General features: G+C 39.8%; 1 protein-coding gene across 27 annotated transcripts in view, besides 1 other annotated feature; it reads left to right on the forward strand.

The window, feature by feature from the left end:
- The window catches only part of PDE8B (phosphodiesterase 8B), a 341,542-nt gene that overhangs the window by 228,883 nt on the left and 100,234 nt on the right, over nucleotides 1-12,425 (forward strand). For all 27 annotated transcript variants that reach the window (NM_001414622.1, NM_001414623.1, NM_001349750.3 and 24 more), the window contains one exon: nucleotides 9,942-10,132. In NM_001414622.1, the coding sequence (NP_001401551.1) occupies nucleotides 9,942-10,132 (191 nt within the window). The remainder of the gene's footprint in view (nucleotides 1-9,941; nucleotides 10,133-12,425) is intronic.
- Nucleotides 6,667-7,362: an enhancer, noted in NCBI's record as "OCT4-NANOG-H3K27ac-H3K4me1 hESC enhancer chr5:76618089-76618784 (GRCh37/hg19 assembly coordinates)". NCBI's record gives its function as "activates a minimal SCP1, AML or CMV promoter by ChIP-STARR-seq in naive and primed H9 embryonic stem cells {active_cell/tissue: H9 hESC(naive and primed)}" and the evidence as "EXISTENCE:reporter gene assay evidence [ECO:0000049][PMID:30033119]".

The raw sequence follows: 12,425 nt of genomic DNA on the forward strand, positions 1-12,425 counted from the left end.
AATCGTGCTATTCAAACCATCTCTATTAATTTTTGACTTAAATTTTGTGACTATGTGATCTATCAGTTTCTAATTACAGTGGATTTGTTGAAATCATCAATATGTGTTAATACTTGCTGGTATTTTGAGTCTGTGTTGTTAGGTGTATCCAAGTTCTTGATTATTGTATATTCTTGATGACTGTCCCTTTTATCATTACGTAGTGTCCTACTTTAACCTTTTCCCTTATATTCTGTTTTATTTGTTGGTAATATTGCCAGGCCAGCTGCCTTTCTTTAACATTTTCCTAGTTATCTTTTTCTGTTTTTTTCTTTCAGAAACAAAAGATTGCAGATACTTTATAACTTTATTTTGAGTAGCCTCTTTTAAGCAGCATATTGGGGTTTTTTTTTCAATAAAAATATGGGAAATAAAATCTGTTTCTATAATCTTTGTCTTTTAATAGGTGAGTTAAATCTGATTACATTGAGTGTGAATACTGATATAGTTTTATTTTGTATTTTCTATTTATTAATCTTTTCCTTTTTTATTGTTTCTTGTTTCTGCTTATTATCAAGTTGGGAATGTTTTTGAAGTTACATTTTCTTTTCTCTAATATAGGTATACTTCTGTTCTTTTAGTGGTTACCCTGAAATTATTATTACTATTATTATTGAGACAAAGTCTTGTTCTGTCACCCAGGCTGGAGTGCAGTGGCACGATCTCGGCTCACTGCAAACTCTGCCTCCTGGGTTCAAGCGATTCTTCTGCCTCAGCCTCCCAAGTACCTGGGACTACAGGTGCATGCCACCCAGCCTGGCTAATTTTTGTATTTTCAGTAGAGATGGGGTTTCACCATATTGGCCAGGCTGGTCTCGAACTTCTGACCTCGTGATTTGCCTACCTTGGCCTCCCAAAGTGCTGGGATTACAGGGGTGAGCCACCGTGCCCGGCCTGAAATTATTTTTAATATGCTTGCTTAGCAGTCAAATTTTATAACAAAATCTCACCATACTATCTTTCTGTCTTCTCAAACATGATACAGTCCTTTGCAGAATTTAAGTACCTCCTGACAGCCCCACTCTCCCACAACTGAAAAACACTTGTCTATAAATTTGAATGTATTATATGTGGCATATTAAAACATACAAAAATATTTTTGATATGTGCTCATAACCTATGAAACATAATAACAAATTGAATATCATAAACTCATAAGCCTGCCACCCAGTGCAAGACCTGGAACATTACCAGTGCTACGGTATACCCCATTGATTTCCCTCATGTGAGTTTGGCTCCAAATAACAGCAGATGCAAGTGGTAAAGAGTACCTCTTTGAGTGAAGGACACAATAATTAAGGGTTTCTTTTAAAAAAGATAATAAGCTCAACTTAGAACCAAGGATGGCTTCACATGGTCTCATTCAAACATAGAGTTTGACTCAATGATTCATGCAATAAGAATCTACTGAGTACCTCCTATGTTCAGGGCTCTATGCTAAGTGTTGCAGGGGAGAGAGAGAAGGCACCATGTTCCCTGACCACAGAGAGAGGTCTGGAAGGTCAGTTTTATTGTCTATAACACACTAACTTTCAGTGTATTGACATCTAGTGTTTTTATGCTTCTTCTACTAACATTGCAATTGACTTAGAAAAATGAAGCTATGTCCTAATGTTTTTATTTTACTTTTTTTTCTCCTTGAAGAAAACTATTCTGTTGCTTCACTGCAATGCCAAAAATATTAATTAGCTACATCAGCCAGAGCCCTTAGGGCTTGGGAGGAAATGGCTTGATAAGAATATTTCAGGATAGAGTTGCTTTTGAGGGTGCATTTCTGAGCTCATCAGGGGAAATTTACTCCCATGTCAGGAAATGTACTCCCATAGGGCTCCACACACCCCACACAGAGCTGGCAGGAGCACAGTTAGGAGTGGAATGGATTGGAAGTGCAGAGTGGTGCTGTGGAGCACGTCTCTCCTGGGTGAGTTGATGTGACCCACAGGGAAAGTCATATTTTCCAATCTTGGCTAGAAAATAAAAAGCAGAGGAAGTGTTATGAGGCAGAGATTCAAATCAACATGATACTGTCTGAAAAATCAAGTGGCCTTTTCTTCATCCATACCTGGAACACGTTTACTTCCCCAGTGTGCAGAATGTATGTGTTTCTGCTTAGAGAGTCCCGTCCCCATTCCCGTCATGCTGGGCTTTCCAACTGGACATGGAAATGGATCCCCACAGCTGTGACCTAAGCTTTTTCTTAGCAAGGTCACACATCTCCTTTCAAAGCCTGGCCAAGATGGTGAAACCCCGTCTTTACTAAAAATACAAAAATTAGTCGGGTGTGGTGGCGGGCATCTGTAATCCCAGCTACTCTGGAGGCTGAGGCAGAGAATTGCTTGAACCTGGGAGGTGGAGGTTGCAGTGAGCCAAGATCGCACCATTGCACTCCAGCCTGGGCAACAGAGTGAGACTCCATCTCAAAAAAAAAAAAAAAAAAAAAACACAACAACAACAACAAAAACCACCTTATTCTTCCATGTTGTAGGGCATGGGTTTTCTGGAACCATTATATTTTGGGGATTTTATATAGTGGAGATCACATGGCCTCATAGGGAGCTGACCTTCACACATTAAGTGAAATGACTGAGGGATGGAGATGTTCAGACTCAGTAACTTGCTGTGGTCAGCATTTCTTTTGCTGTCTGTCCTTACTGCTGCTACCAGGTTGTGTCTTCTACCTCGTCCAGCCAGTTTCAAAGAACCATAGAGTTGTTAAGAATTTTCATCTAATATTATAGGTAAAAATATTTATGGTGCTGAGAGATAGTAAGTTACTTAACATAGTGATTACAAAGGCCCTGGGGTCAGGCCAGCCTCGGTTCACATCTTGCTGGCAGTGCAGCTATGGACAAGTTTTTTAACCATCTAAGCCTCAGTTTCCATGTCTATAAAATAGGGATAATGCCCAACTCCAAAGAGTTTCTCTAACGGGTTATTGAGTGAGACAGTATGTTTCTAGTGCATTCAGTATAGTGGCTGCCCCTTAAAAAACTCCCATTAAACTATAGCTGTAATCAGCATCACTTTCCTAGGGACATTTAAGGAAAGTTCTCAGACCATTTTTTTTCAGCTCAAATGACCACTCCCCTGATCAAATTGGCCACTTGTTTAGTATTATGCAGACAGAGCTTATGTGATCTATATATGTGGTCTGCTTTAGAAGCTCCATTACCAGGTGTTTGCTTAAAGCCAAACCAAATATTCCAAAAACTGGATGTTTAATGGTAGACATTGACAATCCATTTGAAGACACATAGATACACCCTCATTTAGAAATAACGCTAGTAATAATGAACACCTATATTGCCTTATTCAAGATGAGGAAAAGTTAGTTTTTGTTTTCATCTTTTTTTATAATTAGCCATCACCAGATAAAGTAGTTTCATTCTAATTTAGCTGTCAAAGACAGATTATTGCTATCCTCAAAAAGATATGTTTCAGCTTTCTTTGAGGTCTTTGTAGTTACCTTTGAAAAGCAGGTATCTCTTGCTTTGTACAGGTCCAATGTGCACAGATTTCATGGTTTACTTAGATAACACCAGACCCCCAACAACATGTTTCAAATTGCGGTTACATCAGTGTTTTAACTGTGAATAAATGCATAAAGCATAAACTTTGCAGCTGGCTCTTCAGTCCACAAATCACTATGTAAATAACAAATGTGCAGCATCATCAGTAACTTATCGCTTTTTTTAACCATAACTTTTTTTAGCCAAAGACTGGTTGGTTTCTGCCTATCTGTTATTCAGCCTAAGTACAGACAGCAAAGCATGTAGTTGTGTTGCCTCCTATCTCTCCGTGATAAACCCAAATGACATTATGCAAAAATAGATCATTGAAAGAGGGAATGAGCTAACAAAGATGAAAGTGCAATGAAGAGATGCAAAATGATAATGCTGTGAGTGAAATTTGAATTGAATGTAAATGGACTTAGAGGAGAAATAGTTGACTGTGGAATGCCGACACTGCTGTCTTTGAGAGATTCTAGACATGTAGCTGGTAGAAGTTAGTGAATGCAAGTTCATCAACATAAATGAGGACAGCGGTGTGGCAAAAAGGATGAAGATGTCATAGAGGAAGTGAAGCCAGCAAAAAACTTCACATTAATGAAAGGAGCTCTGGGGATATTGCATGATACTGAAAGCACAGAGGATAAAATGTCAGCAGCTGATCCAAAGTTAGGAGTATGACAATTTGCCAAGGCATAGGAAAGATGCTCACTTCGTATCGTAACTTATACAACTAGAAGAAGGTGGCAAGCACTGTCCAAACTACTCTTGATAAATTTTTTTAAATACATAAAACATCTTAATTTTCAATGTTTCTAATATTTTAAGTTACAGTATATTAAATAAATTTTAGCTTTATATTTTTTCATTTCCCTATATATTTATAACCAAGAATAAGAAAATTTTCAGTATGTTGACACAAATTTTTAAAGGTCACAAAACAATCATAATTTTTACCATTATTTATTAAGATAGCTTTACATGGTCATTTTTTCATTTTTATTTTTATAGAATATAAAAATGCAGATTTCTTGCATGCATATATTGTGTACTGGCTTTCAGTGTACCCATCACCCGAAAAGTGAAAAATGTACCCACTACGTAAGTTTTCAACCCTCGTGCATGGTCATTATTACAGTCTGATTCTACTATGCAAAGTGAGGATTGCCGATAGCTATGTTCTGACTACGGACAGAACACAAGTTGGCTGAGCTCTGCTCCAGAAAGAGGTTTCCTCGTTGTTCCAGGCTTCAGCCCAGATCAGTTCTGCATCTTCTCCTCTTTTGCTGTGTTTACAAGGGTACAGTGAGATCGATGTGACAAAACTACTTCCTTCTGCTTGTTCTCCTGTGCTTGGATTCTTGTCCATGCTTTGTTTATCTGTGGTCACCACTTATTGGTGCATTTATTATAATTATCTGCTTCCTTGACTGGAGCCCAGGGGAAGAGACTGGCCTATGGCTATTTCTGTCATCTTTTTATTCCCAGTTCTTAACATCTTGCATAACAAGTCATCGATAAATATTCTTTGAACGAATGTTGAGGATATTATTTTGAGCAAGCACAAGGTCAGTTAGCTGTTACTCTTTACAGATCAAGTTCAGTTATAACACCATTAGTAATGATTTTTCAAAAATATATTTTGCAGAATCATTTATATGAGTTAATCATTTATTGACCTCAGTTAATAGTCAATAAATCTTAAAAAATGGCCATGTCAAAGAAATCAGAAATACTGATACACAGAATATTAAAGCTGAAGAGGGAATGCATTACTTAAGTTTTGTTTTGTTTTTATTTTTTAGTTGCAAGTAATAACTGCCTTATACCAAAAAAGTACATAAGTAAATAAGAAATGTATTAGAAGGATAGTGCAATTTTTTTTTTCAGACTCCAAGAAAGAGTTGAAAAGGGTGGGTGGCTTGCGAAGGGTGTCCATGGGCCATCTCTGAGCCGTTTGACATCAGCAGTTTAACATTCTTCCATCAGTATCTCTATTTTTTTTTTTTTTTTTTTTTTTTGAGATGGAGTTTCTCTCTTGTTGCCCAGGCTGGAGTGCAATGGCACGATCTCAGCTCACTGCAACATCTCTGCCTCTCGGGTTCAAGCAATTCTCCTGCTTCAGCCTCCTGAGTAGCTGGGATTACAGGCATGCACCACCACGCCTGGCTAATTTTGTATTTTTGGTAGAGACAGGGTTTCTCCATGTTGGTCAGGCTGGTCTCAAACTCCCGACCTCAGGTGATCCACCCACCTTGGCCTCCCAAAGTGCTGGGATTACAAGCGTAAGCCACCATGCCCAGCCAATATCTCTATTCTTAATGGGCCACAGGTCCCAGTTCCTAGCCTTTATGTCTCTCTGTTCAAATTCCAAATTCCCAGAAACAGAATATCATTAGCCTAGCTATAGCCTGGGAGATGGGAACAAAGAGTCCAATTTGGGCTACTTGGATCTACTTCTTTCCTGGAGAAGGTATTATTTTTAAGAGCTAGGCAGATATTTTTAAAAGGTGATTACTATAGTGTTTTACTCTGAAGTATATATTCTTTATTCCCATAAATTTTCACTTTGCTTAGGAATTGAATAATTGAAAAGCAGTCTTTCTAAATTTTTTATAAATAGGAAAAAATTTAAATATTAGCCAAAGAAATTCTCTCCTGAGTGCCTTACCATACCTAAATAATAAGATCTGTTGGCCTTGCAACAGATACAGATTTTATTATTCAGGTATGGTAAGGCCAACAGATCTAGGAACAATTGGCATTGAAAAAATCATTACAGTTCCCAGAGCAGGAGGCACAGCATGCCACCCAGGGCCACACTGGGAAGCACCGCAGTCAGTCAGGAGGCACAGGGAGCGGGAGGAGATCCCGGGCAAGAGCCTCCACTGTGGTTTCCATGGGAAGGCTTGGGTGAGGCAGGGTGAGCAGGGTTAGGCTAGGCTAGTCGGATTAATTTCAGAAAGGTCTGGGACATATTGGTGGTTCTAGTTGTCTGGTACCTGGCCCTAGGGTGATTAGGGTTGGGGAATTGTGGCCTGGAGTGTAAGAGCCAAAGGTGGTGGTGGTTGGGGAATGGGCTCTGGATTGGTTGATTTGCATATGAAGGGCATGCTCACAGGAGAATTGTGTGCTATCTCTAGGAATTAGCAACCCTGAGAAGGGCAGTCCTTCCAGGGTCAGCAAAGCCCCAGAAGTCAAAGCATCAGAAACACAGAAAATAAAAATATACAATTAATACAGCTGTCCACCTTCAATCAGTTTTGTGAGTTTCCATGTGAAATCCAGTTTTGTAACACCTTCAAATGTCCTAGAAGGCCTTATCATGGTCTAGCCCTCTGCCGTGAACCTGACCTGCTCCCACCCTTTTGCCCTCACACCCTCCCTTCAGTCACCCAGGCTCCCTTGCAGTCCTTAGAACACACCAGGGGCTCATAGAACTCTGCCTGGAATGCTTTTCCTTCCAACATAAACTGGGCTTGCTTTTCTCTTGCCTTCAGGCATTTGCTCACACGTCACTTTCTCAGCAGGACCTATTCTAACTGCCTACTTCCTTCTGCTGCCGGCACCCACTCCTGACCCCCTTACTCTGCTCTGCCGGGTTTCACATAGCACCTGTCATTTATTACCATTCTGTATAATGTGCTTACTTAATATTCTATTTATTGTGTGTGCCTCTACCACTACAATGCAAAGAGTCTTTATTTTGTTCATCAACATACCATAAGCAGTTAATAGCAGTGTTTCTGAAAATTAGTGATAGCTGTTGTAATGCCCAACAAGAGAATTGTTATATTCTTACTGTATTAGTCAAAGATTGAGGCATAATGGTGTCAAGGAAATATAAATTGCTGAGATTCTTGTTTAGAAACCCATAATTCAGCCAGACAGGTGAGAGACAAGAAATGTTTCACCTTTTTTGACTTCTAGGTTTGGCATATTGAGTTTCTTGTGTTAATACCACAGCTACACCAAGTAAAAGGTTATTGACTTTTTGCACCAACCAGTTTATTCTACCTGATTTTTCTCATTCAGGCTTCCTTGTTAACAGTTTGATTTGAAGGCTTTCATTATCAAAATCCACAAGGTTGTGTCCTTCATTTTTCTTGGGAGAGCCACCTCCTGTTTCTTCCTGGAAGGAACTCTGTGGCTGGAAATGTTAGGAGCTTCCTGGGCTGAAGAAGTTCAGACCCTAGCCAGTCCAGGGTGCTCCTAACAAATGGCATATATAATATATCCAGATATTTATTGATATTAAGGAATTATTGGGGAGGTTTAGATATGAAATGATATTGTGGTTTGTTCTTTTTAAAAAATCTTTATCTTTCACAGATGCATATGGATGAGATAAAATAGCTGTATTTGCCACCATCTATTATAAGAGCTAGGAAAATGGGTAGGGATAGAGATGAACTCACATTGGCTAGGAGTTGGTTATTGCTGAAGCCGGGTAAGGAGTACGTGAGTTTCATTATATTATTGTTTCTACTTTTCTATATACTTCCAATTTTCAATTAATAAAAGTATTTTTCAGCTGGGCATGTGGCTCATGCTTGTGATCCCAGCACTTTGGGAGGCCGAGGTGGGCGGATCATGAGGTCAGGAGTTCGAGACCAGCCTGGCCAACATGGCGAAACCCCATTTCTACTAAAAAAATACAAAAATTAGCCAGGCATGGTGGCGGGCGCCTGTAATCCCAGCTACTCGGGAGGCTGAGGCAGGAGAATCACTTGAACCTGGGAGGTGGAGGTTGCAGTGAGCCGAGATTGTGCCATTGTGCTCTAGCCTTGGTGACAAGAGCAAGACTCCATCTCAAAAACAAACAAACAACAAAAAAAAGTATTTTTCAAATGTAATAGTAATGATTGGACAATTTGGCTTGTTTCTGATTTTAAGTGAAACACGTTTGGTGTTTCACCATGATGAATATATTGACTATTGACTCAAAAGCTCTTCATGTTGAGAAACTACCCTTCTATTGTTAATTATTTAAACCAGACGTGGGTGCAGAAGAATATTGAGTGCCTTAACGATATCTTGAGATTACTATAGGTTTTTCTTATTAGATCTATTGCTGGGAGGTGGTTTTACATGTTATTCATAGTAAAGCCCTCTTGCATTTCTCAGAAGACCCCACAGGTAGTTATTTTTTCATTTCTCAGATATTTGCTGAACATCTAGGAAGTGCCAGCCTGGTGCTGGGCATGGGGGGTACAAGCAGGGAACAAGCCAGGCCGAGCCCTCACTCTCCTGAAGCTTACTTCTCCAGTGAGGGAGATGGACCATAAATACATAAATGAGCTCAGGTGGTGGTAGGGTAGTCTGTGTCTTTCTGGCTGGCAGAGAATCTGTGTTCCTGGACCCAAGGGATGTTGAGGGGGAAACTGTGTAAAGTATTGCTACCTTCTTTTCTGTGGGTGGAATTGCTTCTCAATGAGGCAGTTCATCAATAGAAGCACTTTTCCCTCGACTTAGCTCCATCAGCTTTACATTTCATGATCATTCTTTCCAGATTCTGGCAAAGATTGGATGTTAAAATTCATTTTTGAGGTTGTTTTGAGTTCCCTTACTTCCTTATGTCTATAGGTATTTTAGTGCTAAGTTCAAAGAGGTGGCCTCCAGGGACTTAAAGGCAAATACCACTTGCAACTGGAATCAAATATATGTATTGTAAATGTAAACCATAATCTAACCTGTGTTAACTATCTCGTTAATAATTTTACTTATTTAAAAACAAAGCTAATTAGGAAATTAGAAATACTTGTAATTGCAGTGAGTAACAATCACCACCAGAGTGAATGGGCACCTTCTCTGTTCTTATTCAGTTCTCAGAACTAACTTATGTGGCACTGTTCTTTCACTCTTAGAGCCCAGAAACTGTAGGCCAAAGAGGTGAAATACCTTGTTCAAAGACCACTGTAACCAACTGGAGGAGCTGGGATTTGAACCCTGGTAGCTTCCCTCTAGAGGCCCCATTTTTAACCAGTATACCATAGGCCTGGTCTTTTGGTTGTTTTGGGGGGATTGTTTTGGCTTTGTTTTAGACAGGGTCTCACTCTGTTGCCCAGCTGGAGTGCAGTGGTGCAATCATGGTTCACTGCAGCTTCTACCTCCCAGGCTCAAGTGATCTTTTCATCTCAGCCTCCTGAGTAGTGGAGACCACAGGCATGTGCTACTGTGCCTGGCTAATTTTTTTGTATTTTTTGTAGAGGCAGAGTTTTGCCATGTTGCCCTGGCTGGTCTTGAACACCTGGGCTTAAGTAGTCCACTGCCTCAGCCTCCCAAAGAGCTGGGATTACAGGCATGAGCCACTGCGCCTGGCCACTAGGCTTGTTTTTAATAGTCTCTATGGATGATGATTTATTTCAAGATGCCCTTTTTGTTGTGTTTCAGGTTTTGCTGATCTTTGCAAAGGAAGATAGTCAGAGCGATGGCTTCTGGTGGGCCTGCGACAGAGCTGGTTATAGATGCAATATTGCTCGGACTCCAGAGTCAGCCCTTGAATGCTTTCTTGATAAGCATCATGAAATTATTGTAATTGATCATAGACAAACTCAGAACTTCGATGCAGAAGCAGTGTGCAGGTACCTTCTCTAATTTAATATGCTTAGTAAATGTTCACTTTACATCTTAAAACGAATTTCATTTATAGATATCTTTAGTTTATTTCAAATATTTTTAAAATATGCGTTGATGTTTTTAAGCAGTGTATACAGATGTCTGTGGTGAAAGCTATAGCTCCTTCCTGTAGATTTCTCTCTCCTCTTCTACTTTTCCACATTTGAGTTGTACTAAATTTAGAGGTGTGAGCTGGGCTCCCCTGATAACTTCAGGGTATTCCCCCCACCCTGTGTATTGCTCATAAAAAACATTAAAATTCACACAGTTCGCATTACACAGATACGGTTTGGATTTAAACTAGCTATTTTAATCTTCATTATTCTCTCCCAAAATGAACATCGGAAATGTGTGAAATATAAATTTTTTCCTGCCTGACACAGATGGGTAGATCCCATAGCAGGCTTCCCAGTCATGGAGTGAATGCAGCCACTTTTGCAGCAACAGAAAATCTTCCAGGGACCAAAACCCCCTGCTTGTTTATAGAAATGCTTGCACTCTGGGGAGGAAACACAGGCCTGTTCATAAATAAATGCTCAGTCATAAGAGTTAGCTCTGGATGAACTGATTCATTTAGCAGAAGTGGAATGCTTTGAAGCTAGATGGAAGAGGTCACTAATTAAATGCTAGACCAAGACAGAGTCCAGTTGCATGGGGAGCTGGAATTTTCTTGAATGTTAGTAAGTGAAATAAAAGGTGAGAAAATGGCTTTTTAGACTTTGGTACCCTGACAAGAAATTAGTGGATTAAGAGAAGTTTCTTATCGCAGGCATCATCTTGCTATTCTTTGATGATTTTCAGTTTCCCAAAGAAGAATTTTTCTTAAGCATCTGTTTTAGATATGTTTTAATGGCTTCAAATAATCTCATCTTTCTGCATAAACATATTTTTCTATTTAATAGTGTATATAAATATACATATAGTATATCATAAAATATCTGGATGCTATTTTTAGTATTAGGAAATATTTTTGATGATTTTATAATAGAATTGGGTCTTGTAAAACTAAGTATTTCTGATTTTTCTTGGCCTTCACTTACTTTTCCTATGTAGTTTTGTAGTAGAAATATCACACTTCTTTGTTCCTATATATAATCACTTAAGATAAGCTTTACTTAAAAAGAAAAAACCAACAGGAAGAAATCTTTTAATTCAGGCAAAGGCCCAGTTTAGCAGATAAGCTTTACATTTTTCTTTGAATATAAATAAATAAGAGTTTTATTTCCTACCAAATATATTTCTGTGTTAGCTGCACAGAAAACCAATAGCGGTCTATGCAGTTTAGAAGTCAGATGTACATATCTGGCAGTGTGTTTCCTGACCATTATTGGTCTTGTTGAGGGTGGCCAGATTCCAAATGCTTGACTCCCAGCACACATTCCCTGGGGAGATGGGTGGGTGACACGCTCCTGGCAGATGTGCATTCTTTGTTGTCACCTGTGGTGCTAGATCCCTCACCCTTGAGCTAGGACTGGACCTTAGCCTAACATGCGTCCTTGAGCCTCAGCCCCACCTTCTCCTTAGTCCTCTCATCCAGGAAGAGGCCTAGGTCTCTCTTACCATACCGGTTCCTTTGGAGAGATGAGAGAAAAGAGACAGCAGCAGGAAGCAACCCAAAAGATGGAAGCCAGTCCCAAAAGAAACCAAGAGAGTGTGTGCTCCAGCCCAGTTATGCTCATTACATGTTTCAGCCTCTTGCCTAAAACCCACGCCTTAGGATATAGCCCAGCAGTGTGTCCATGATGCCTGCTGGGGTGGGAAAGACTGAATGAAGTTGAGAAGTACTTAGTGTTTCCCTAGAGATAAGAACATGCCTCTAAAACACTATGTATTTTTTCATTAGGTGCTAACTGGTATTTCCACTGAGTATCCACCCAGTAGGCTCCTGAGTATAAAATAAGTATAGCTTCACCTTAGCAGGACCTGCCCTGTGGGGTGGCTGACTGGGAAGTAGCCTGTGCTGGCATTGGAGGGATATTGACTTATGCCTCCTGCCCCATTGTGAGTTAATAGCATTTTCTCCAAAAGATCTCTTTCAAATACCATTTATCAACAGAGGAAACTTCACTTCCTGGGAATATGGCAGCCGATCATTTCCGGGAGCCTTCCCCCCACACAGTGTGAGGGCTCAAGGAACAGGACATGGAGAAGGTACATTTTTTGAGAAAGGTCATAAAATGTTGGAGTTGAAGAGGATGAAGCAATACGAGCTGGCTGTCCCTTGGGGAGTGGTAGTTCAAATACATTAAAGTAGAGAGG

Source organism: Homo sapiens, chromosome 5 (genome assembly GCF_000001405.40).
Source record: "Homo sapiens chromosome 5, GRCh38.p14 Primary Assembly".
In the NCBI taxonomy this organism is placed as follows: Eukaryota; Metazoa; Chordata; class Mammalia; order Primates; family Hominidae; genus Homo; species Homo sapiens.